General features: G+C 39.8%; 1 protein-coding gene across 26 annotated transcripts in view, besides 1 other annotated feature; it reads left to right on the forward strand.

The window, feature by feature from the left end:
* Positions 1,896-2,845: a silencer, noted in NCBI's record as "silent region_2355". NCBI's record gives its function as "represses an Ori minimal core promoter by ATAC-STARR-seq in GM12878 lymphoblastoid cells {active_cell/tissue: GM12878}" and the evidence as "EXISTENCE:reporter gene assay evidence [ECO:0000049][PMID:35858748]".
* MAPK8 (mitogen-activated protein kinase 8) overlaps positions 2,265-27,844 on the forward strand; it is a 132,684-nt gene continuing 107,104 nt past the window's right edge. For 8 of the 26 annotated variants that reach the window (NR_136583.2, NR_136584.2, NR_136585.2 and 5 more), the window contains exon 1: positions 2,265-2,409. The gene's annotated coding sequence lies outside the window, so the exon portion shown is untranslated. Of the gene's footprint in view, positions 2,410-2,816; positions 3,877-21,484; positions 21,554-27,844 lie in introns of those variants that run through there. The other 18 variants (XM_047425482.1, XM_047425480.1, NM_001323302.2 and 15 more) reach the window with 4 other exon arrangements.

Consider the following 27,844-nt stretch of genomic DNA (forward strand, 5'->3'; position numbering starts at 1 on the left):
CATCACAGACTCATCTTCCCCTTTGTGGCCCTTTAACACTGAAGTTCCCCAAGCCTGGTTGCAGGCCCTCTCCTCAGGCCTAGGCTGACCCATCTATCCCAAGGCTTCAAGGAATCACTCACTGTCAATGATTCGTCTCTTAACTAGCTGAACCTCAGCTCTGTATATCCAACCACCAACTTAACATCAGTTTTGGGCATCTCAAAAGCCTTCAAACAGCCAAACAGCCTGCTCTCATGATATTTTAATGCCAGTCTGGTCCTTTTCCAAGATTCCCATCTTGGTAAACCAGCACTAACATCCATCCTTGGCCACAAGCCAGAAACCTTTGAGTTTTCCTTGATGACTCCCTCTCCTTCATTGCCCCACATAACCCATCACTTGGAGAATGTGCAAGTTCTGCCCGTTGGACCTCCTAAATAATTCACAGATCTTTCCATGTCCATCAACTATTTCCATGACCATCACCCTAGATCAAGCTTCCACCTCTTACCGTCTAGGCTACTCCTACATCCACCTGGGCTCTTTCCAATAAGGAATCTTTTCAAGAAGCTATTCTGACCATGCCACACCCTTTGCTGAATATGTCAGGGGCTTCCCATTGCACTTAGGATAAAAAGATTTTCAACATGGCCAATATGGATGTCCTACGTTTGGTCCCTTTACCAATCTTCCTGACTTCATCTCATAGCTCCTTCTTCCTTGCTCCTCCAGCAGAGCTGGCCTTTCCTGAATTTCTCCATCTTATCCTGCTTAATCTCATCAGAGGACCTTTGCGTGCAAAGCTACCTCTAAAATATTCTCTGTCTAGTCAAACCTATTCCCAGCTCAAGTGACAGTTCCTCAGGGAAATCTTTTCTGGCCTTATTAACTAGTGTATTAATTGGTTTCATAGTATTATGTATCCTTAACAATTTGTATTATAAAACAGTGATAATTTTGCGTTTACTATTATTACTTTCATAGTACAGTGATTAAATCTGTAAACTCTACTGTATTGCCTGGCACTGAATGGGCATGCAATAAATAATTATTGCAGGAACAAAGGATGGCAGGAAGGAAATTAAGAAGGTTGAGAGGGAGGGAGAGAGGAAATGGGAAGAGAATGAATGAATAATCATCTGTATGTTCCCTTTCAGAATCACCAGAAACAGGCCAGCCCCACATGTAATAGGAAAGTAGTTTACCTGAAATCATTCATTTATTCAACAAATATTTATATATTCATTATTAAAGTAACTTACTTGTTTCTGATTGTGAACATAACTATTCCTCTCGGAAAACATGAGAAAATACCCAAAGTATAAACGAGAACCAAGTCACCCTTTATTCCATAGTCCAATGATGAACCATTGTTAACATAATTTGGTGTATTTCTTTCCAGGTTTTTTCTATGTGTATATATAGTATCTAAGTGGGACCATTCTATATATGACTTGTTTCTTGCTTCTTTCTCTTAATGATACATTGTGAACATGTTCCTATGTTGTTAAGAATTCCTTGAACACATGGCATTTAAATTGCTAAAATGTATTCTACCGAATGGTGTAGGTAGTTCAAACGCCTTTCCACCCGTTGTTGGATATTTAAAGGACTTGTCAATTTATCGCTTCTGTAACATTTACACGCTTTGTGGGGCCTCAGAAGTAAACCAGGTAATGCAAGGAATCTGGGAAGAGGTGGATTTGCAAGGAATCTCGGAGGAGGTGGATTTTGGAAAAACTGGAGGCAGCTTTTCCCGGGCAGCTGAAGAGAACACTTATCTCTCTGTAGGTTTCTGGGACCCGGACAGGTGTCCTCAGAATGGAACATATTGTCGGTCAAGGTAACCAGCTCTTCATCACTCAGGTGTGTGTACCGGAAGGGGGTGCCTGTTCGCTGCGCAGGTTAGGCCTAAGCGCACCTGCCCTTCAACCCTGTGCCGACGAGGCCCGAAGGCTTAAGCTCTGACCTGGCTACCGCCGCCAACCAGATGCGGTCCCCTGGGGCCACGCGCCGCCACGTGCCGCCACAGGGCCCGCCCCTCCCGCTCCAGGCCACGCCCCTCACCCACAGCCCTCGGAGGCTCTCTCCGCGGCTCCGCCTCCAAGCGACCTCCGCAAGTCCTCTCGTAACCCCTGGAGTAGCGCCGTCCCCGGGCGGCGGCCCCGCCCCCGCAATCCGGGCCCCGGGGCTGCCCCGCCCCGCCGGCCGCTCGGGAGGCGCGGGGGCGGGGCCCTGCGCGATGACGTGCGCGGGCGTGCGCGGTGACGGCCCGCGTCTCTGTTACTCAGCCGAGCGGCCGAGGCCGGACGACGCGGCTTGGATTGCGGAGCCGCGAGCAGCGCTGGGTAACGGCCGCGGCGACCACCCCGGACGGCCCCTGTCCCCGCTGGCGGGCTTCCCTGTCGCCGTTCGCTGCGCTGCCGGGTGAGTGCGGCGGACGCCGCAGGGCCGGGACGGCAGGCGGCCCCGTCGTGTTTATGTTATTGTGCCGCTGCCGCCGCCGCCGCCTTCTCCTCAGCCGTAACCCCCTCCTGGGAGTGGGGGCGGGAGCGCGCGGTGGGCGGGGGCGGCGCGGGAACAATAGCGGCGCGGAGGCGGGGGCCAGCCGAGGGGGCGTGGGGCTGCGGGACCTGGGTGCGCTCCGCTGCCCGCCAGCCCGCCTGCCGCCGCGAGCCCCGCCCGCCTGTCCTCTCGCGTCCTCTTCGCGTGGGTCCTGCCTCCGCGGCGGGAGAAGAAAATGGAGCGGGGGGGTGGGTGGCAAGTTCTGAAACACTTCGGCAAGGGTCGGACGGAGGTGTCTTTGCGGCCCGCCGCGCCCTGGCTGCCTCCGGGGCGGCGGGGAGCCGGGGAGAGCGCTTCTGCCGGCAGGTCCCCAAGCCTGCCCCGCGCCCATAGGGACCGTATTTTGCTTCTCGATGCTTTCTTTGTGCTAACGTTCTGGGCGAACGCAGGCAGCAGCGCTGAAAAGGGCCAGAGTGGCCTGCAGCTCTGGGCTGCAGGGCAGAGAGCCCAGGCCCGTGGCTCGGGTGGGAGGTGTCCATCCAGCTTGGCCCGAGCTTCGGTGGTCAGCGCGCATTTCTCTTGAGGGTCATCGGTGGTGACCTTTTGACTTTTTCACCCCACCCTCCCATCTCTTTGTCTCGCATTTGTGTTCCCGATTCAGAGATGGTAGAACCAAGTCCATTTTAAAGTACCCTGATGAACACTTTCCGTTTTTATTTCTGAAAGTTCCCTGCTTGGTCTTTACTGCGAATTTAATAACATGTTGACTACATGGCATTGTCCAGTGATTACTATTTTTACCTCTGAAATCCAGCGATCTTTCCAGTAGAATTCTGGTCCGTCAGTCCATTGTGTTTTGAGATAAGCATCCAGCAAGTACCTCCTTGGCAATTAGAACATCTGTTTTTTCATTCATTCATTCATTCAGCAGCTGTTTAGTACCGTACTCAGATGAAGAGGTTTGGTGTGAAGGTAAAGTATCCTTTCATGGAAGAGGATGCTTTGACTGAAGTATAATAGATGGACCTTTAAATGAGACAGTTACATAAGTGATGTCTGTTAAGGAAGGTATGGTTATATTCTGGGTCATTTTTTAAGCAGTATATCTGGAAGTTCAAGTGTAATAGGAAGTAGAATTAGATTTGGTCTAAATATACAACAGCTTTTATTTATTTCTAAATTTTATTTTTTCCAGTCTTGCAGCCTTACAGTCATTTGTAATGGTTACCTCAGATTCCCCTGCTGTGGTTAACGTTAAACCTAGGAGGTCAGATGCTCTAAGTGAACATGTTTAGTGCTGTGCCTGACAAAAGCAAGCAATCAAAATGGGACTTCCTTGAGGGCAGGCCTGTCTTGCATCTGTTTCTCCACCACCTAGCCTGGAATATAGTAAGTGTTCAATAAAAGTCGGATTGATGAAAAGCTCTTTGTAATTGATAATATTTAAAATCAAGCCTTAAAAAAAACCGTAATGTTCTCCATAAAGTTTTGGAAGCTTCATGCAACTGTCGCATCAGATGGCTAAATGGTCAGTTCATGTACATTATCTGTTATGATGACATGGGCTTTTGAATCACGTGTAGGTCATTCACTGTCCTAAAATAAAATCTTGTCTAAATATTTTTTTAATATGATAAATAAAGTAGGTTGTGGAGTGTGTGTTTCTGTGTATGTGCTAGTTTATGTGTGTCCGTGTGTGTGCATGTACGTAATCCACACACAGGCACTCATAAACTGGTATTTCAGTAGGGGTCTAAAATGATTGCATTTATAATTTTGTGAATATTATTTGAAAGTTTTTTGGTGACTCTTATTGTGGAAAATTGAGGACAAAACCACATAAATGTTTTATTAGAAATATTTCTAATATTTTAGAAATGTTTACTTGAAATGTTTGGTTTTAAGTTCTAACTTGTATTAACACAATTGGTACAAAATATGAGCCTAAAACTCAAAATAATTGATTTATCGAAGTTAAAGCTCTTTTCCACTTACTAAATACAGTTTAGCGTTTGTTTTGTATTTGAAAGAATATGAAATGAGTTAACTAATGAGTTTCTTATTATTTGCTGTAAAGTGGAAATGAAGAAATAAGAAAATAATACTTTTTTAAGATGATGGTTGAAAATCTTTGAGATACCAAAGTTTTATTGCTTTACCTAGTTAGGGTATGTCAGATTCTAGTAGGGGTTACTGACAATCCTTTGGCAGTAGCTCACAGGCTGTGTAAAGAACCAGAGTTGTGTTACTTTGTTTTCCAAATTGTTGGTTTTTAAAAATAGCTTTATTGCAATTTAATTGACATAAAATTCACCAGTTAGAGTGTATATATTTCGGTTTTTAGTATTTTCACAGTGTTGTGCCTTGATCACCATCACTAATTCCAGAACATTGTCATCACCCCAAGAAGAAACACCATATCCATTAGCAGTCACTCTGAATTTCACTTCAAATTATCCTTTAAAGTAAGAGATATAGCATCGATTCTGTTAGTAAATATATTCCTTTAGTAAGTATGAAAAGGGCTCCTTTTAAATGTCCTGTCCTGGCAGAATAGGAAACTATATCCTTCATACTCCTTTAGATCCTGGGGGAAATGCCATTTGGAAAGGAAGTCAGTGCAAGAATAAATTGTATACAAATTAATGTGGTTATAATCTTAACTATTTGCTCCATGCCTGATATTATCAAAGTGACCTTGTGAGGATGAGATGTTCAGTGAAACAACTTGAAGGAATTTGTTGTTAAATGACTAGTCCCCAACTATCCTAGTGCTAAGAGGTTGTTGAATAGGAGCCTGCTTCTTGTTGGTCTGCTTTGCCAGCGGGTTGAATTTTGACATATTTCAGTCATCTACATGGTTGAGATGCTTTGTTGCACGAGTGGAAATACAAAATAATGTCTGACATTAGGATTCCAGTGCTCTAGAGGTCTCTGGTCAAGTCAATGGTATGGGTAGTAGCTTTTCTGATTCATGTGGTCCAAGGAAGTCATTATAACCACATAGCTTTATATATGAATCATTTGCCTATGTCAGTGAACTGTGATGCTGATTGTCTTAATCATGAGCTCTTTACCTGAACATTTAGAAGCCTTGCATTCTTACTCTTAATGCAGGTTAAGTTGAACTTTGATTTCAGAAGTGAGTTGACTGAAAGGTAACAGGAGTATTGAAATGAGTTATCCTGTCATTCAGGTCAATAGGTGGAGCTAGAGCAATCCAGGAATCAGACCTAGGTTCATTTCTCAGTTCTGCCATCTGGACTTTGTCATCAAATTCTGGAGCTTTAGGCAAGTGCCTTAATGTTTTTGGCTTTAAAAGTATAAACTGAGGCTGTCAGAACTTTTTTTTATAGAAGGCTTGTTCCTCAGATAGGTGGTTCTTGAGAAAACATACTAGGACAAAAAGAGCCCTTCTTGGGTGATAATCAGAAGCCTAAGTTAAGAACAGTAGTCAAAGTTAGGATTTTGTAATTTTGTAATTTTCAGAAGCCAAAAAAATTGTTGAGTTGAATTTTTTCTTTAATATCCAGACTTAGAAAACAAATGGAAGGCTTCACCATAAGCTAGAGATTCTTGGAAAGGTAGGCTTTTATTTATTCCACAGCATCATGCCTTCTAATGAGACCGTATGCTCCCAGAGACTTTGTGGAAGACATAAAATGAGTTCATTATCCTCAGGAAGCTTATAATCAAGGATTAGACTGAAGGCATCGCTAAACAGTTAATTTATGCTCTTTTAAAAGGTATATGAAAGGGTTCCCGCCAAACAAAAGCCCACTTCACATCTCTGTGCAGGCCAAATTTCACTGAAATCCAGTTTTTAAAATTGTGTGTGTGTGTGTGTGTGTGTGTATGTGTGTATACGTATGTGCATGGAGAGAGACAGAGAGGAGACCCCTTTTTGGAAAACTTAGTAGCTTCCATTCTTTTTCTTGGAGGTGGGTTATATCACAAATACAAGAGATACCTGTGTTTCCTGTTACCCTTTATTATATTTCAGATTTAGTTAAAATCTGCCATTCTTTAGAAAGTCAAGGAACTCAAACCTTACAATGATTGCTAGCGTGGGTTTTAAGGTCAGCCCTGAGTTCTAATCGTGCTCCAATCTAACTGTGGTATAGGCTAGTTCAGGTTATATAACATATTTGGGCCTGTTTTATTATCTGTCAAATGAGAATAATAATAGCACGTAACCTCATAGGGCTGTGAGGTTTAAATTAGGTACTGCATGTAAAGTGCCTGGCACTGTTGTGGTGGCTGGAATGCTAGATACAAGTATTCAGGTAGTTTTTGCTATTGTTATCACTTATATTTAACTTTGAACAAACATAAAATGCCAAGTAAACGTCAAACCAGTTTAATGCACAGTGTCCATTCTAATTCTCCAGAATATGCCATTTGTTTCACTCTGCATCTCTGGGGGGTTTATTTAAAATTCGATCATCTCATGTAATCTGAATTGACTGAGATGATTTATATTAACATTTGGACCAGTAATCCTCTCTATCTTAAAATTTGGAAATGTTCCAGAAGCAAATATTGAAGGGAACATATTTGCCACTTTCACGATTTTTTGCCTTTTCCCACAGGAGAAAATTGCCTAAGCTTTCCTAGGTTTGTTATAGACATCTAAAGGAATGAGAATTTAGGAGCTACGAATAGCTTTATCATGTGACACATTTGAAGAAAATGGAATGCTGTCACATCTTTTAAATTTAGTGTTATTGGGATCTTCGATTCTGTGAAGATTGCAGATTTGTCAGAGACCTGGTAACCACAACAATTCATTGAGGCCTGGAGGCCTCTTAAAAAATGAGGGAGATTATTTATTAGTACCACTTAGAAATATTATCTTTTCTGTATTTTCTGTGGTTTTCTAAGTCTTCTGTTTAGCGTTTCTATGATTATAATGGTGGATTAAATTTCTTGTTCCTTCTCAAGAGCATCTACTATGAGATGACACTGGTTTTTACTTCGGCAGTATTTACTGAGCATTGCACTATACTAATCCAGGTATTCGGTGATGTAGGAACCAAAGGAAATAGAAGTCAGTTTCTACCCTCAGTGAGCTGAGTATAATTTGATAGAAGATAAGGATTAACGTAAGCACATTTATGTCCTAACACAAGGAAGCAAATATTGTTAGTCATTTCATTAGGAATTTCTTTTGTCATTGGGGCATTTGGGGCCTTCCAAACCTTACATCTCTTGCCATGCCTTTGTACTCACTCGATAAACCTGAGAAAGCAAGATATCTTCTTTTCTGATTCCTGGTTTAAGTTGAGAGTGTGGTGCACATTAGTCAAAATCCAAATCATAAGAAAAGGCAAACCTTATGAATTCATTTTGGAATACAACAGGGTATCAAAATAAGTATATGAGAAATATGAAAAGCTGACAGTAGAAAAGATGCTACTCAGGTACTAACCAGAGTTCTCAATCTCCTCTGTATTGAAGCTCTTATGATGTAAGGCTGGATCTGTACTAGAAACACTTTTTAAAGTCTCTCTCCAGTATTGAGAAGTATAGTCCTCCAGTACTGCCTCTTGGTGCTGAGAGACTCAAGCCTGCCACCCACCATATTTCTGGGGAAACTAGAAACGAAAAATAGCCACACACAAGCACTTGCTTTGCTTGGCAGGAAACATCAAAACCATAAGATGTTATTTCCTAAAAGTCATTAATTGGGTAGAAAAATCACCATTTTCTGACTTGTTCCAGGAAGGATGGCTTTCTGATTTTCAGATGCCATTGGGTCAACCAAAGGTAAGATAAAGAAAAGCTACTGCTGTGTGGATTTTTCTGTGACTTGAGAAAGCGTCACTTTTCAGTTAAACAAAAACCAAAGCATCTAGCTTTGGCTGTTACTATTGAGAATTTAAAAGTCTTAATGTTTTAATTTGTTTACATTTTATATTTTGACTAAGTAGTAATGAATTCACTTTGACTCAAAATTCCAAAGATTTAAAAAGATAAAGAATCTCCTTTTCTACTCTGTGTAGCCACCTAGTTCTTCTGCCTGGAAACTGTTAAAATTCCTGTGAATACTTCCAAAGATAGTTTATATATGTTTAAGTATATAATCCTTTGTTCAAAATCCTTGGTCCAGATGTATTTTAGAATGAAGGCTTTTTTTGCAGTTGTGGAAAGATAATGTAGCACATCTACCGTGTTATCCAAAATCCCTAGTAAGAGGTTGTAGCCTCATGATTAAACACATTAACATTTCTGTAAAAAATACAGACATAGGCCAGGCGCGGTGGCTCACGCCTGTAATCTGAGCACTTTGGGAGGCCGAGGCGGGCGGATCACCTGAGGTCAGGAGTTTGAGACCAGCTTGGCCAACATAGTGATACCCCGTCTATACTAAAAATACAAAAATTAGCTGGGCGTGGTAGCGTACGCCTGTAATCCCAGCTACTTGGGAGGTTGAGGCAGGAGAATCTCTTGAATCTAGGAGGCGGAGGTTGCAGTGAGCTGAGATCGTGCCACTACACTCCAGCCTGGGCGGCAGAGGTGTAGACTCTGTCTCAAAAAACAACAACAACAACAACACCCAGAAATAATCAAAGACATTAATATTTTTATAAAAGCATAACAAATACAAGTAGGGTGAATAAAGATTATAAAATCTTATGCTACGTCTCGTCAGGTTTTACCACCAAATACGTTTGTACTAAACTTATTTTAAAAACGTATTTTTCACAGCTTTATGGATTTTGGCTTTGCCAATGAAGGATAGGTGTCATACATATATACAGTACTGTATAGCCTCTGCTCTGCTCCCTCCCTTTTTATTTAATGTAAGTTGTTGCATGCAATATGTATCACCTTTTGCTTTTTTGTTTTTTGCTTGTTGGTTTGTTTTTTGAGACGGAGTCTCACTCTTGTTGCCCAGGCTGGAGTGCAGTGGCACAATCTCAGCTCACTGCCACCTCTGCCTCCGAGGTTCAGGTGATTCTCCTGCCTCAGCCTCCTGAGTAGCTGGGATTACAGGTGATCCACCTGCCTTGGCCTCCAAAGTGCTGGGATTACGGGTGTGAGCCACCGCACGTGGCCTGCTTTTTGTTTTAATATAGCTGAGAGATTATTTTATATCAGTCATATCAGTATGTAAATGGCATGCTTTTTTAACATCTTTGTGGTATTCCATTTGTCTTACTCTGTTTGGGCTGCTATATCAAAATACCATAACTTGAGTGGTTTAAACAACAGAAATTTATTTCTCACAGTTCTGGAGGTCGGGAAGTTCAAGATTAGGCTACTTAGTCAATTTGGTTCCCTGGTGAGGGTCCTTTTCCTGGCTTTATAGGTGGCCGGCTTCTGGATGTATCCTCACATGGCCCCTAAGAGCTCTAGTCTGTTCCTCATCCTATCATGGGGGCTCCACCCTCATGACCTAATATAGTCATGAGAGGCTTAGTTAACTCCTAAAGGTCTCTCCTCCAGATACTATCAAGTTAGAGGGTAGGCCTTCAACATATGAATTTGGAGGGACACAGACAGTCCATAACATCATTATACTGGTATACCATTTAACTCCTTTCTGATGCATATTTAGGTAGTTTTCAGACTTTTGCTATCAAAAGCCATGGTGCAGTGGATTACCTTGTGCATACGTCGTGTTGCACTTAAATGCATAGGATAAATTTCCAGAGGTAGAGTTCCTAGGCCAGCGTATGTGCATTTGTAATTTTATGTATTGCTGAAGTGTAGCCTGTAGAGGTTGTCCAACTTCCATTCCACCAGCACTGTGTAAGGATGCCTGCTTCTTATTACCCTTAGACGTCTTTCATCTTTTAAGGGCTGTTTGTGTTTTCTTTCTTTTGAACTGTCCTTGTCTTTGCATGTTTTTCTATTGCTTTGTTGCTCATTTTCCTAGATTTGTAGGATTAATTTTACAAATTGGCTCCATGCTATTTTTTGGAAATGTTTTTCCCCAATTTGCTGTTTTCCATTCTATGGTAGGCTATTATGTATGGTTCCAACTTTATTTTCTTCACCAGATATCCATCCATTTGTCCCTACACCATTTATTAAATAATCCATCTTTGTCTTAACTGATTTAAAATGCCACCTTTACCATTTACAAAATTTCCACGTGTATTTGGTACCATTGTTTCCATTGACCCATCTGCCTGTTTGGGACCTGAGCCATCCTGTTTTTATTATTGTAGTTTATGCTGTGTTTTCTGCTAGGTCTAATTCCCTTTTATTTCTCTTCCTTTTCAGAAGTTTTTTTCTGGCTTCTATCTTGTTTATTTTATATGAACTTCTAAAAACAACCCATCTAGTCTAGTCTGTACCCCTCCTCTGCCAGTCTTTCTGTTGGAATCACTTTTTTTATTTTATTGTGGTAAAATTATGCACAGCTAGATGCACAAGCATTACAGTCCAATAAGTTTGCCTTTGTATACACTTGTGCAATCCCAGATCAAAATACAGAACACTTCCATCACCCAGAACCTTTTCTTACATCCTTTTCAAGTTACCTTGCTCCCCAGTGATTGGCTTCTATTAAATGGATTCAGTGTACTGTTAGGATTTCTTTGTATTTATAGAATAAGTGACAGCTTTATGATGTACCTTTATATCCAAGAATAGGAAAAACAACCTTTTCATTTGTTGAAGTCTCATTTTGAGTTCCTGATAGCATTTTTAAACATTAAAATTTTTTTTTGCTGTTTTATATATTTAAGTTTTTTTTTTTTTGCTGGAAATGGCATCTTTTTTTCCACTTTTATCTTCTATCTGGTTATATATAAGAAAGCTTTTTATTTTGTATATTAGTTAATATTTCATATATTAAATAATAAGCCCCCTGTAGAATATTTATTATTTCTAATAGTTTTGTAGTTGAATTTTTTATTTTTCTTATGTCATGCCAGCTTTTTTGTTTCCTTTGATTTTTACCTCCTCCCTCCCCCAACTTTTTATACTCTTATATTTTTTCTTATTGCATTTATAGTGGTGATTTTAGAAGATTATAGTTTTCCTCCATTATATGTAAAATGAGCCAAAATATCTGTTTATCTGTTGAGTATTTAAATGTTATGAATAATAATGAAATTAGGGAGGGATTATGGGAATACTTAAAGTAGTGTGAAGTTTTCTCTCTAAAGTTAATGTAACTTGAAATGAATTGTGGTTTTCAAAATGTTAAATGGACAAGTTGGGGATCACTTGATAGTGAATGTAGGATTAGCAGTTAACTGCCTTGTGTCTTATTTGATGATACAGTCATGCACCACATGGTGAGGTTTCGGTCCATTACAGACCACATATGTGACAGTGGTCCCATAAAATTATACCATATTTTTACTCTATTTTTTCTATGTTTAGATACACAAATACTTCCCATTGTGTTACAGTTGCCTGCAGTATTCAGTACAGTAACCTGCTGTACAGGTTCGTAGCCTAGGGTCAGTAGGCTACACCATATTATAGCTTAGGTATGTTGTACTATCTAGGTTGGTGTAAGTAGATTCCATGATGTTTGCACAGTGACGAAATTGCCTAATGATGCATTTCTCAGAAGGTATCCCCGTCCTTAAGCAAGGTGTGACTATGTGTATAGGCTGCTTTCTATGTGCTTAGCACCCAGAGGCAGCTCCCGGAAATATAATTTAGTCTGGTGTCAGAGAGCATGCAGTCAAAGTAGAGGTCAAGATATGAGAAGTATGAAGTGAATGAATGTAGACAGGAGGGTCTTAAGCTTGGAAAAATGCAAAAATCAAGTCAGGAAAGCACAGGAGTGAGAGGGTGCAAAGAGTGAGTTTGATTTGGCAACTGGATTGGGGCAGGTTGCTCATCCTTATAAAATTATATGGTAGTTAGGTACTTAGCTGAACTTCAGTAGAGATCTCATTGCTTAATGGGGATTAAATAGTTTATTTTCTGTCTCTTCTTCCCTTCCCCTGCTCCCACCAAAAAGCTAAGGCAGTTTTCTACTGAAGGACGCATACATCGTTAAGTAAGCTAGAAACAAAAAGTTAGAACCTCGGGAAAACAAGTATCCAGACTATCCTAATGGTATAGGAGCTAATGCATATTTGGTGCCTATCATATACCAGGCACTGTTCTTGTGCTTTATGTATGTTAAATTGTTTAAACATCCCACAGCAACCCTACAAGGTGGGCACTGTTACTCCCATTTTATACATGAGGAAACAGGCATAGAGAGATTATATGGGAAGTTGTTGGTGATCTTGTTGGGTGGTTTTATTAAAGTGGGAAGAAAGAAGCCAAGTTGAAGATGGTTAAAAAACAATGAATGATTTTTCTTTTTAAAGACAGGGTCTCCCTCTGTTGCCCAGGCTGGAGTGCAGTGGTGTGATCGTAGATCACTGCAGCCTTAAACTCCTGGGTTCAAGTGAATCTTCCTGTCTCAGCCTCCAGCCTCCCGAGTAGCTGGGACTCGGCTGGCGAATTTTTAAGTTTTTTGTAAAGATGGGGTCTCACTGTGTTGCCTAGGCTGGTCTGAAACTCCTGGCCTCGTGATCTTACCACCTCCGCCTCCCAAAGTGCTGGGATTATAGGCGTGAGCCACCACACCCAGCCCCTGAATGAAACACTTTGAAAAAGAGTGAGAAATGAGCAAGTGCTGACACAGTGGGTGCAGACCACTCTTTTAAGATTAGCTCTGAAGTGAACAAAGAAATGGGTTGGTGGATAAAGGAAATTGTGAGGCTCAGAAAATGAGTGAAAATGGCATTGCTGTATGTAGGAAAGGGGATGCAGAGTACGGGTAGAGAGTTTGGCCCTCAGTAGAGGAGAGATCTTTTCCATCTAACAGGAGGAAATGCAGAAAAGTTGTGTGCCCTTGCGAGGAAGTTTGGAAGTTGGAAGGTGAAGGCCTATTCTCCTGGCTTTCATCTTCTCTGTGGTTTCTGTTTGCTCAATGAAGCATGAGATTCATACGGGCAGAAAGGGATGGGAGTTTGGGGAGTTTGAAGCAGTTTGCCAAGAAGTATTGATTGTTCATTTAAGGTTTAAAATCTTGAATTTAAAGTGATATCAGTCAGCCTGGTTTTGTGACCCCCCACCCCCCCAGCATTATTTAGCTGATTAGTTACAGGCACAGATTAAGGCAGGTAGTTGAATTTACCCAGGGTGAGATTTTGCCAGGTGTATTAGAGTTCTCCAGAGAAACAGCAAATCGGAGTTATAGGTAGGTAGACTGAGATTTTAAGGCATTTGTTTTTGTGAGGGCTGGCAAGTCTGAAATCTGTAGGGCAGGCAGGAAATTCTTGGTCAGGAGTTAATACTGCAGCCTTGAGGCAGAATTTTGTTTTTCTCAGGGAAACTTGTTTTTGCTATTAAAGCCTTACCAAGTGATTGGATGAGGCCTACCCACGGTATCAAGGATAAGCTCCTGTACTTAAACTTGACTGTTTGTAGATATTAATCACATCTACAAAATACCTTCACAGCAACTACATTAGTGTTTGAATAACTGGGTACTACAGACTAGCCAAATTGACACTTAAAACTAACCATCACACCAGATCAGTTCAAAAGAAGGAAAGGGGGACAAGGGAAATAAGGACCTTTTAACTAGAATGCTTATTGTGTGGTGGTGGTTGAGTGTGTAACTGGCCACAGGGTTTGAGTAAGTTAACTTGAAAGATTGAATGCCATGGTCAGAGTGGAATACCTGAAAGAGAGATTTCACAAGTATGACAATTATTGACATTAATAATGCTCAGGTTAACTTTGGGTGTGGGCTTCCGAGGTGGAATTCAGAGACAAATCCTGAACGTGAGGAGGCCAATGAGTTAAAGAGTCTGAGGTATTAAAAAAGGGTCAGTCTGCATGCATGGTGAAATCAGCAACTAGTGAGGGGAGTAAGGGTACGTACTGTAAACCAGTTGTAATGTCCTCAATGAATAAGGAAGAATTGGAGGGAGGCTAGACGAACAAGAAAGGTTAAAGGTAGTGTAACAGGCTAAGTTTGCTTGTCACAAATTGGGAATTTCAGAAGGCCAAGTAAAGGAATTAGGAGGATGAAGAATTGAGTCAAATGGAGGACGTACACAGCAGTGTGGCAGTGAGAATTCAGAGAATAATAGATAACCAGGGAGAGCTGGATTTTTTCTGGTGACCATAAGCAGGGATGTGAGGTATGAGAGGATTAGTCCTGATACAGGAGATGGTGGTTATCACTTTTAGTGTTGTAGGACTCTGTGGCAGTGCTTTCAGACTGTTACTCATGACCCATTAGTAGGTTATAGAATTTTGGGAGATCACAATTTCTGTTACGTTGTTAAAAGAAATGAAATAGAAAATACCATAGTGTGTCATGTGTAATAAGGGACTAAGAATTTTTTAACGGTTTTATTGAGATATAATTCACATACCATTATAGTTATCTATTTGAAATATACAGCTCAAAGCTTTTTTAGTATATTCCTGGAATAATGGAGCCATCATCACAGCCTAACTTTAGAACATGTTTGTCACCCCAGAAAGTAACCTCATACTCACTAGCAGTCACTCCCCATTTCTTCACACACACCCCCTCCTCTCCCTGGCCCTAAACAGCCACTTACCCACTTTCTTCTCTATAGTTTTGTTCATTCTGGCTATCTCTTTTTTATTTTTTTGAGATGACGTCTTGCTCTGTTGCCCAGGCTGGAGTGCAGTGGCGTGATCCCGGCTCTCTACAGCCTCCACCTCCCGGGTTCAAGCAATTCTCCTGCCTCAGCCTCCCGAGTAGCTGCGATTACAGGTGCCTGCCACTAGGCCTGGCTAATTTTTTTGTATTTTTAGTAGAAACAGGGTTTCACCATGTTGGCCAGGCTGATCTTGAACTCCTTACCCCAAGTGATCTACCCACTTCAGCCTCCAAAAGTGCTGGGATTACAGGTGTGAGCCACTGCACCCAGCGCATTCTGGATCTCTCATGTAAGTGGAATCATACACTGTGCGATCTTTTGTGACTGGCTTATTTCACTTAGCATGATGTTTTTAAGGTTCATGTATCATGTATCAGTACTTCGTTTCTGTTTTTTTTTCTTTTCTTTTTTTTTGAGACAGAGTTTCACCCTTGTTGCCCAGGCTGGAGTGCAATGGCGTGATCTTGGCTCACTGCAACCTCTGCCTTCCTGGTTCAAGTGATTCTCCTACCTCAGCCTCCCCAGTAGTTGGGATTACAGGCGCATGCCACCACTGCCAGCTTATTTTGTATTTTTGGTAGAGATAGGGTTTCTCCATGTTGGTCAGGCTGGTGTTGAACTCCTGACCTCAGGTGATCCCCCACCTTGGCCTCCCAAGTGCTGGGATTTCAGGTGTGAGCCACTGCTCGGCCTTTTTTTTTTTTTTTTTTTTTTTTTTTTTTTTAAATTAGATCAGGTCTTGCTCTGTCACCCTGTTACCCAGGCTGGAGTGCAGTACCATGATCGTGGCTCACTACAGGCTGAAACTCCTGGGCTGAAGCAATCCTCCTGCCTCAGCCTCTTGAGTAGCTGGGACCACAGGCACATGCCACCACACCTGGCTAATTTTAAATTTTTTGTAGAGGCAGGCTCTCCCTATGTTTCCCAGGCTGGTCTTGAACTCCTGGCCTCAAGTTATCCTCCCACCTTGAGCTCCCAAAGTGCTGCTGAGATTAGAGGCATGAACCACAGTGCCTGACCTTCATTTCTTTTTATGGTGAAATATTATTTGGTTGTACGATATGCCACATTTTATTTACCTACACTTCATTTGATGGGCATTTGGATTGTTTACACTTTTTGGCTATAGTAAGTAATATAGTACACAAGTTATGAATATGAACATTTGTACACAAGTTTTTTTGTGTTGTATGTTTTCATTTCTCTTGGGTATGTATCCAAGAGTGGAATTGCTGGGTCATATGGGTAACTCTATGCTTATTATTTTGAAGAACTGCCAAACTGTTTTTCAAAGTGGCTGCACCATTTTACATTTCCACCAGCAAGGTGTGAAGATTCCAAATTCTCCACATCCTATTCAAGCTTGTTATTGTCTGTCTTGAAAATAGCCACCTGATGAGAGTGAAGTGATAGCCCATTGTGATTTTAAATTGCACTTCCCTGATAGCTAATGATATTGAACATAGTTTCATGTGCTTCTTGGCCACTTTTATATCTTCTGGAGAAGTATTTCAGATTCTTTGCCTATTTTAAAAATTGAGTTATTTATCTTTTTATTACGTTGTAAGAGTTTTTTTTTTTTTTTTTTTTTTTAAGAGATGGGGTTCTTGCTCTGTCACCCATCCTGGAGTGCAGTGATGCAACCTGGGCTCACTGCAGCCTCAAACTCTTGTACACAAATGATCCTCCCTCCCCAGCCTCACAAGTAGCTAGGACCACAGGTGTGCCCTGCTAATTTTTAAAATTTTTTGTAGAGATGGGGTCTCACTGTGCCGCCTAGGTGCTGTAACTCCTGGGCTCAAGTGATCCTCCCACCTTGGCCTCCAAAAGTGCTGGGATTACAAACATGAGCTTCCTTGCCTGGCCAAAGAGTTCTTTATATATTATAGATACAAGTTGCATAACAGATGTATGGTTTATAAATATTTTCTCCTGTTTCAGAGGTAGTCTTTTTACTTTCTTGATGGCATCATTTGTAGCACAAAAAGTTTTAATTTCAATAAAGAAATCCAATGTATTTGTTTTTCCCTTGTGCTTTTGGAATCTTTTATAAGAAGCCAATGCTTAACTCAAGGTCATGAAGACAACTTCTGCATTTTCTTCTGAGTTTTATAGTTTTAGCTCTTACATTTAGGTCTGTGATCCATTTTGAGTTAATTTTATGGTGTATGGTATAAGGAAGGCATGTGAGGTAATTCTTTTGCATATAGACATGCAGTTGTCCTAGCTCCATTTGTTGAAAATACTGTTCTTTCTTACCAAATTGTCTTGGGCATTCTTGAAAAAAAGGCAGATTTATTTCTGGACTCTGAATTCTATTCCATTGATCTATGTGTCTATTCTTAGGTTCCCACGGTGTGTTGATTACTGTAGTTCAGAATTTTTTGAAAGTTGTGTTTCACATAGATGTGTGAGTATATTTATATATAGATACACACAGAGGTGTGTGTGTAATGGGTTATGTTGGAAAATGTTGGAAAACCTATGGTGTCTCCCCATTAGTTCACTCGCTTGTGGCAACTTAGTGGAGTATGTTCCCTCTCAGGTAATATACAGAGAAGACAGGTTAGAGGGTCTGTCTGTGAGTGTATGAATTCCTTTTAGATTGGATGACTGATTTTTCTTACTTTAGTAAAGTTTTCAAGTGCATGTGGACTGAAGGGCAGTAAGGAGGGCATAGAACAGCTATGGGAATTCCTAAAGAATTCATCAGAGATGAATGTAACGATTATGGAGTGAAGTATTTGAAATTTTGAAGTTAGCAGGGTTTTGTACTGTGCCAGTCTTTCATGATTTAAAAAAAAAAACTTTTTTGAATATATTAAGCATGTCTGTGTCGGATAACTTAAGACATTATATAAGGAAAATTATATAGATAATTTAAGGTTTGGGAATGATGCTATCTCCTTCTAGAGAGGATTTTTGTTGACTTTGGCAGGAGGCAAGCTAGTGGCACTAGCAATCCCGAATCATCTTAATCCAGTCAGAGACTATGATGTTTCAAAACTGGGTTCCGGAGTCTACGAAGGCTGGTCTATTTTATGTTTTATTTACTTCTAGGTATGACCCCTTGGAGTTCTAGCATAAAGCCAGGGATGTTATCAGCCCCACATGCCCCCACCCTCACACTTTCTTGGGCCCTTAACTCCAATATTTAATCCTCTCTAGTCATGTAAATCTATTGCAAGTTCAAGCTCAGCTTCTCAGCCACGTCTTTGGAATTGGCAGATCCCTTCAGGGGGAGAAATGGCCCCGGATGCCAGACTCCCTTATGAGCTTTTCCTTACTCTCCCAGATCTTGGTCTTCATGCTTTTTCACTACCTTGGCACTCTGATGCCCTCAAACAGGTTTTTTGGTTTTGATTTTTAAAACATTTTTTCTGGGGACTTGGGCAGGTGTCCAGTTTTTCTAGTTGCTCTCAGTACGATAATTGGTTTGAATTATCTAGTTCACCATTTTAAGGAAAGCGATTTGTTAGGTTGATCAAGGTTTATGTCATAAGATTCTCTGTTTGAAATTGTAGTATATGTGGTTTCAGTTTTTCCTGAGGGTAAGATTTTGGGTACCAGTTTCTACAGATTATAGAAATTATTAGAAAAGGGGGAAATAGCCTTAGGAATAGAAATGGGAGGGAAAATGGCAGAGAAAACTAGATATTTTTGCAAAGTTTGGGAAAGATAAAGGTATAGGGTAACATTTTCATGTCTATTAGGAGTGTAAAAGGGCATTCATGTATCAAAGGCGCTGACATATTTGTTGTAATGATATTGTCATAATTAAAAGGCTGTAGAATCTAGGTATTGTGGGGGTGGCTTTGAGAAGTATCTACTTAGTCGTGTTGAATAAAATTTTTAAATTTCGCAGAGAAACCCTAGGATACTGAGTCATTAATTGAAGGAGTCAACTTTGGGGCTGGACTTATGGTTGTGTCTTATAGCAGTATAAATCTGCGCAGCCAGTAGTATGTAAGGGATTGCAGAAAGAATTTAATTTCATAGAACCCATTATTAATATGAGAGATACAAAATGATACTGATTTTGATTTAGCATGCCATCTTCATTTATGTATGAAAATAAATGTAAGGTCTTAAAGAGTTTTTGTTTTTGATTCTCTAAGCTATTCCCATACTTCTTAAATTTCAAAATTACAAAGTTTTCCATACATCTTAATCATTATAATTGAGGAAAAATGGTATATCTTTAATAGCCCCTTCTTCTCTTGAGAAAATGATAGATACTGGGTGTATTTCAGAAGGTTTTATCAGCAGAGTTTTGGTTGATATTTTAAACTTTTTGAGGATAGGAATTGTTTAGTAAAATGATGCCCTCTCTTTTTTGGCTCCATCTTCCAGTATATGTGTCATAGGAACCTGGTTTAAGTTCAGTGTGTTTCTTTGTTACACCTGTCAGTAGAATCGGCTATTACTGTTTTTTGGTTCCTTACAACTGAACATTTTGGTCACCGTCCTCACCCACTTTTTAAAGTGACTTCATTCTCCCACATCACTCCCAACTGAAGAATGTTCAGACATACACATTGAAAGAATATTACGGTAAACACCTGTATACTTCATTTGGATATTGTGGTTGTTAGCTTTTTTGTCATATTCGTTTATGTCTCTCCTAAAAGTAAACACATTCTCTTACATATGTCATACTTAAGCCCTTAATATCTAGTTCATATTCAAGTTTTGCTAATTATTCCCCCAAAAGGTCAGTTTGTGCTGCAACCAGGTACTGTGATTTCTCACCTAGTTTCCATAGCTCTTGTGAAGGTGTTTTCGTGCATGGATAGTGTTCAAATTGATGTTTCTGTTAGGGGACAATCACTGGAGAGTCCTATTCTTCCATCTTATTCTGCCCCTCTCCTCCAAAAAGGTCAACTTGTAACTGCTTTTTTCAAACCAATATTCAATCAGTTTATGAACCACATTTGATCGTTGTTGCTTTAGTCACTTATACAACAGTTGTCCTGTTTTCTAGTTTTTTTTTTTTTTTTTACACTCATGATATTGGCTTCTTGAAGAGACCAGGCCATTTGTCATATAGAATGTTTCCCATATTTTGGATTTGTCTGATTTTCTTGTAGCAATTAACTTTTATCTCAATTCCCACTGTATTTCCTAAAGTAGAAGATTGAGCCTAAAGACTGGATTATATTTAGTTTTTTTTTGGCTTAGTTACTCCTGTGTACGTTATATTGACTCATAACACAGGCATCAGGTGGTTTGCCTAAAGTGTGATCATTTGGTGTTAAGGTGGTATTCACCAGATCTATCCATTATAACAATGGGTTTCCCCTTGACAATCAGCAGATCAGTGAGATGACGTTTTGGTTCCCTTTGAATATCCTGTTTTCCAGCAGCCTTTTACCTGTGTGTTGAGTCTCTTGGTGAGCTTTGAATCAGTTATTTCATTTGGGCTTGCAAATGGTGTTTTTTTGTTTTTCTAACCCTATCATCCTTTTTTTTTTGAGATGGAGTCTTGCTCTGTCACCCAGGCTGGAGTGCAGTGGCACAATCTCTGGTCACTGCAACCTCCACCTCCTGGGTTCAAGCGATTCTCTCACCTCTGCCTCCCGAGTAGCTGGGACTACAGGCACGTGCCACCATGCCTGGCTAATTTTCATATTTTTAGTAGAGATGGGGTTTCACCATATTGGCCAGGCTGGTCTCGAACTCCTGACCTCAAGTGATCTGCCCACCTTGGCCTCCCGCCTGTCATCCTTCTTGATCAATTAATATTAACCAGCTTTCCTCTGTTAAGAAGACCTTTCCCTCTTGTCAACTGGGATTGAACTACAGTTCTTCCTAACAAGATGAGATAAATGTTTATTTCTCTTCAATATACCAACTCTTTTTAACATACCAATTTTGAAAATTTAACCAATTTGGAGTAGTCATCTTCAAAAAGTGGCACATAACTTTCAGTCTCTCTGTATCACAGGGATTTTTGTTTTTTTCAGAAGTTTTATGATCATTTCAGTCATTCTTTTTAAAATAGTCTTCATTTGTAGAAGTTTTAGTTTTACAGAAAAATTGAGTATATACTACAGTTTCCATATACCCCAGACCCAATTTCTCCTATAATTAACATCGTATGTTTGCATGGCACATTTATTACAATTAGTGAAAAGTATTGGTACATTATTAACTAAAATCCATAGCTTATTCAGCTTTTCTTAGTTTTTAGCTAGTGTTTTTGTTTTGTTTTTTCAAGATCCCATCTGGAATACCACATTACATTTTGTTGTCATATCTCCTTAGGATTTCTTAGCTGTGAGTTTCTCAGATATTCCTTTTTGTGATTACCTTGACTGCTCAAATATTTTGTAGGATACCGTTTTATTGGAATTTGATGTTTTTCTCATTTTTAGACTGGCCTTATGGGTTTCTAGAAGGAAAATCACAGAGGTAAAGCATCATTTCATCACATCCTGTCAAGGGTATGTACTGTTAACATAATTTATGACTTGATTTTGACTTTGATCACCTGGCTGAGGTAATGTTTGTCTGATTTTTCCATTGTAAAGTTACTCTTTTTTCCTCCTTTTCATACTGTAATACTGGGGAAAGGTGACCATGCACAGCCCACACTTTAGGGAGTTATGTCCTGCTTCTTGATGGCAGAGTATCTACATAAATTATTAATATTTGGAATCCTTCTGTGCAGGAGATTTTTATTTTCTCCCATTTAGTAATTTGTTCAGTCATTTATATCAGTATGGACTCATGGTTGCTTATTTTATACTTTGGGTTATAGTCCAATACTATTAATACTTAATTTTGCTACACACATTGTTTCAGATTTGGCCATTGGGAACCCCTTTAGTTAGCTCCTGTGCCTGTGACATACTTCCATCGGTGTGGGTGTTTTGTGAGCACTTACTTTCTGGCACTGCAGGATACTCCCAGCTCATCTTGTATGTTTTCTACCCTAGTCCTGGGATCAGCCGTTTCTCTAAGGAGCACTGTTTCCTTTAATTAGAAAATGGTATTAGAAACAAAGATCTAGGTGCCCTTGTTGCTACTGGGATGTTGTGTTTTAGGTACTCTCAGCAGATAGAGCAAATAAATATATTCATATATTAGAAATATCTGTATATCTATGTGTCTAGAGAGAGATATAAGTATTTAATATTATATATCAGTATTTATATGTGCATAAATATTTGTAACCATCTGTATCTATATAAGCTAAACATGAATTCTTAATGTCTTCAACTCTAATCTATTACCATACGGATCATTCCTGGTCCTCCCGTTACTGACCAGTAAATTTCCTCCAATAGCGGGAAACCTGCCTCCCAGCACACACCATTTATTTACTTAGTTGTTCAATTCCAACATAGGTCTTATAGCAGTATCAGAATTGTTAACTCACACCCAATGGAAACAGCTGTATCAACTAGGAGTGTTTTTTGTTTGTTTGTTTGTTTTTTGTTGTTCAATTCTTCAGAAATTTCTAAGTGGACAATCATGTCATCTGCAAACAGAAACAGTTTTATTTCTTTTCCCCCCTCCGTCTGCATGCCTTTTCTTCCCTTTTATTGTCTTATTGCAGTATTTAGGACTTTAGGTATGATGTTGAATAGGAGTAATGGGAGGAGACATTTTTGCCTTATTCTTGTTCTTGGGGGGAAAGTAGTTTTTCACCATTAAGTACTATGTTCACTGTAGAGGGTTTTTTGAGGGGAGTAGAGTAGATTTTTTTAAAAAATCAAATTGAGGAAATTCTTCTCCATTCTTGGTTTTCTGACCGTTTTCATCATGAGTGGTGTTAGATTTTGTCAGACGCTTTGTCTGCATCCATTGATATGACCATTTGATTTATCTTCATTAGCCTGTTGATGTGGTGGATTAGGGTTACATTAGTAGATTTTAGAACCAGCCTTGCATACCTGGGATAAATCTCTCCTGGTTATGGTGAATAATTCCTTTTCTACATTATTGGATTCAATTTACTAATATTTTGTTGAGGATTTTTGTTACCTGTGTTCATGAAAGATACTGGTCTGTAGCTTTCTTTTCTTACCATCTCTTTGTTTTATTATTATTAGAGTAAGGCTGCTCTTTTAGAATAAGTCAGGAAATGTTCCTTCTGTTTTTATTTTCTGCAAGAGATTGTAGAGAATTGGTATCACTTTTTTCCTTAAATGTTTGGAATAATTCACCAGTAAAACTGTTCAGGCCTGGTGTTTTCTGTTTTAAAAGGTTAATAACTGTTGATTCAATTTTCTAATAGATACAGATCTATTCAGATTATTGATATAGTTTCTTTAATAGTTAACAGGTTTGTTCAGGTTATCTGTTTTTCTTTGTGAGAACTTTGGTAGATTGTGTCTTTCACAGAATATTGGCTTATTTCATCTTACTAAATTTTTGGTGTACAGAGTTGTTCATAGTATTCCTTTGTTGTACTTTTAATGTACTTGGGATAAGTAATGATGACCCCTCTTCCATTTGTTACATTAGTAATTTGTGCCTTCTCTCTTTTTCTTCTTTTGTTTTTTTTGAGACAAAGAGTCTCACTGTCACCCAGGCTGGAATGCAGTGGTGCGATCTTGGCTCACTGCAACCTCAGCCTCCTGGGTTCAAGCGATTTTCCTGCCTCAGCCTTCCAAGTAGCTGGGATTACAGGTACATGCCGCCATGCCCAGCTAATTTTTGTATTTTTTAGTAGAAATGGGGATTTCACCATGTTGGCCAGGGTGGTCTCGAACTTCTTGATTAGTCTGGCTAGAGGTTTAACAGTTTTATTTATATTTTCAATGAGCCAGCTTTTTTTTTTTTCTTTGTATTTTCCTGTTTTTAATTTCACTGATTTTGACTGTAATTCTTTTTTTTCTTCTGCTCACTTTAGGTGTTACTCTTTTTGATGATCAGTTGTCTCACATTTGGCCAGTGAGAGTCTCTTGAGGTGGCTGCTGTGTCCATTTTGATCTGACCTGGTTGATCGTTGAATGCTTCCTTGCTTTCTGGCAGGATAAAATGTATTTCAACCTGTACTTATCTTGCCTTAACCTGGGACACTCCTTTTCTTTAGGAAGTTGGCTTCAGTCTTAATTTTATGTGATTGCTCACTTCTTTCATCTAAACTTTAAACAGATTTGACACATTGAGATCAGCACTTTTGCCTTTTTTTGGTAGTCAACAAGAGCAACTGAGGTGTCCTGTTGATGCTAGTATTTAATGTCTTAAAACTTGTCTTAAAAACAGAACATTTTCCTGTTCAATTTATATAAGCAAAAAGACACTTTAACTGTATCCAGCCAAACTCTTCTATGGCATCTCTGAAAGTAATTTATACTTTGCCAGTTTGTACTTTTGCTAAGAGATAGTTGAAAACCACACCTTTTTAAGAAGTTCAGAAATTGAGGATGCGGTATTCTGAATTATCTAATTTGATTTTTCTGCATCTCTACAGTTGTTTCATTACTTAGTAAAGCGTTTCCAACTTTAGCTTCAGGGTTTTTCTTTTACTTTTAACAAATATTATGTGCCAACACTTACAAATAGTAACTCATTTAATTATTTTAACCTTGCTGGTAGATATGGTTATTCTCCTCTCTCCCTCATAGATGGGGAAACTCAGGCAAGATGAAGTTAAGTAACTTGCGCAGGGTCATACACGAGTGGCAGGGCCAGAGTCTGAATCCAGACAGTTGGCTCCAGACGCCAGACTCCTAGCCACTGCTTTGTGCTGCCCCTCTTTCCTCTGCTAGTTAAGTCGAAAAAGTTGTTTGTGATTCTGCATCTTGCTTTCCTCTTCTCTTATTAATTATAGTATAATGGGTGTCACTCTTATTACCATAAGCCTTAGTATGGCATTGCGAGCACCAGTTAATTAAGCAATAACGTTTTGAGATCCCTAATTGGAAGAATTCAGAGCGGTGTATTGCTTTGAGTTAGTTGGCCCTTTGCTGCAACTCTGGCCATGAGACAACGTTATCTTGAATAGTGATAATGTGTAAAAAGATGAGGCCTCCTTTTTTTTTAAAAAAAAAATTAAATTCATTTAGAGTATGAATTTTAAAGTAGTGTAGTCAGTGATGATATAAGATCAAAGAATAAGTGAAAACACTTCATAAGGCACAGAGAGCTAAATGTGTGTAACTGTTTTATTGGTGTACATAGTTACTGCTGGAACTACAGAGGAAGAATCATTATTTTATGGGAAGAACATATGTTACTGGAAATCCTAGATTCTTAGATCACAATTCTAAATTCCAGTTCTTTGATGTGTTAACATAGGGTCCATTGCATCCTATTTACTGGTTTATTTTTATCCTTGCTCTGCTTCTTCATAATTGTAATTAAGTAAAACTTTCTGGTTCCCCAAGGTCAGGGCATACTCTTTTTGAAAATAATATTAACTACTGCTGATGAGAGGAAGAGAGCAACAGGAAGCATTTAAAAAAATTTTTTTTAAACTAACGGCAAATATAAAATATTTAGGAAAAAGGTAAAGATTAAAAGTACCTATAGCTAGTAATATTTTGGTGTACTTCTTTTTATGTATTTTGTGCACATGTGAGAGAGATTTATATACATGGGTACACACATGTATAATTTGTAAGGATACAAAAATCATATTAGCTTACGTTAATTGAGGACTAGAGTACTGATAACTGCTTTTATTTAAGTCTAGGAAATAGATTTTGTTTAAAAGAAATGTATTCTTAATAGAGAAATAATTTTTATAAAATAAGAGATTTGCAGCATTGCTTTTTTTGTATAAGTATGCTAAGACTGCCATCTCTTTATTTAACAGGAAGGAGTTTTAAACTTTAACTTAATAGGAAGATGTTTCAGGGGTTCTCTGAAGTCAAGAATGTTTTCATATAATACTAGAAGTGTTATTTGCCTTTTTCATGTCTGTTCTCAAGAGTTTTTCTGAGGCCATGTGACTTGCCCTGTGATGTGGCAACAGACTGTATAGAAGCAAATGAGAGAACCCAGCTGTCTGAAATTAAGCCAGACCATAAAGGGATTTGCAGAAATGTAGAACAATGTGTGAGAAACACATTCACCCGTCCAAACCCAATGAATGGACTCAGAGACATGAAGAACAGCGGAAGTGAGACTTTCAATGGCAGTCTTGCAAGATCAGGTGTCTGGTAGGCAGGCACACCCGGGGCAGGTACAGCAGGTAATTTATCTCCTAGCACGCAGGTCTCTTCCCCAGTTCCTCACTGGTCGAGTACTATGGGGTTACAGTCTTCCCGGACGTTGCCTAAGTTTCATTATCCCCCTTAAAAGGTTATACTCCAGTCCCCTTCCCCCCGTAACTTTCAATTTCCCAATAGCAAAACTTTCTTCCCTTTTATGGGCTGACCCCTCCTCTACATTCTGATCACTTATCATGACTTTATAGGTGCATGAGCCATGCAATTTGTCACATCCGCAGGCTGACTGCCAGTACTTAGATTTGTTTCTCGGTCTAGAATGGATGGATTGTCATTGGTGATGAGTATAGGATTGCATTCTAAATTGTGGCAGTTATTTGGCAGGGAGCCCTTGGACAGATGTAGTTTATTCTTCAAGGGTCTCCAGCTTAGAGTTACCCACCCCGTTTACTGTCCAACCCTGAAAATGGGTAGTCTACCATACATCATCCCAGCTGGGTGGGGCAGGATGATGCTCTACTGTAACCTGTATCTGGTTCAGGGCAAAGGTACTTATCTGCCTGCGAGAGCTATCCCTGATTTTCCAAATTCCCACAAGGTAAGACCTGGCAGGCATCAAATCTTACAGTCTGGGATGCTACTGTCTTGGTTACACTAATTACCAACCTCATTGGATAGGGAGGAGTCCCCTGCCAGTTTCCATTTTGACCTTCTGCTTTTTGTATAGTAGCCCATCCCAGCCATATTAACTTCGAGAAATGGGGCCAACCCATGTTTTCTTTTTAGATTTTTCTCAGAGTTAACTTTAAGGGTTCCTCAGTGCACTTTCCACTGGTCTTTTCCCCTCCCTTCCAGGGTCTCTTTTACCAATCCCTTGACTCAAGGATAGTGAGTCCACCCCTGTTCAGCTGTTTGCACAGCTATCTTAGTGGGGACCTTCCCAGCTTGGGTGGAGCTTGTCTTCTTTCCAAATCTTAATCAGCACCAAGTTGCCAGGCTGGAAGTGGTGAACCGTGAACTCAAGAGGTGGCATTTGAGTCAGAAGTCCTCTTAACCTAAGGGATGACAGGGTGGAGGATATGGCCAGTATATAATTTCTTAAGCATTGATCCATGGTTTCCATAGTAGGGAGGATCTGTAGCTCTGCCCAAATATGGGTGCCCCTATAATAACTCATAGGGGGATAATCCCAAGTATTTTCTTGGGGCTGTCATAATCCTAAGGAGTACTATTGGGAGACATTTGGTCCAGGGTATTTTAGTTTCTAGATTAGTTTGGTGATTATGCTTTTTGAGAGTTTGATTCATTCTTTCTACCTTTCCAGAGGAAGGGGGATGCCAAGGGGTATGATAATCTCATCTAATTTGTAAACCTTCCATAATTCCCCTTAACACCCTTGAGATAAAGTGGCTCCCATTGTTTGAATCAATATTTTCTACCAGGTCAAATCTAGGTACAGTCTGTTCTAATATTATTTTGACCACATTACTGGCAGTGGCTGTTGGAAGGGGAAAGGCTTCCACCCAGCTGGAAAGGTGACCTACGATCACCAGTAAATATATCAGTCTTCCTCCTTTGGGCATTTCTGTGAAATCTACTTGAATGCTT

Source organism: Homo sapiens, chromosome 10, assembly GCF_000001405.40.
Source record: "Homo sapiens chromosome 10, GRCh38.p14 Primary Assembly".
Taxonomy (NCBI): Eukaryota; Metazoa; Chordata; class Mammalia; order Primates; family Hominidae; genus Homo; species Homo sapiens.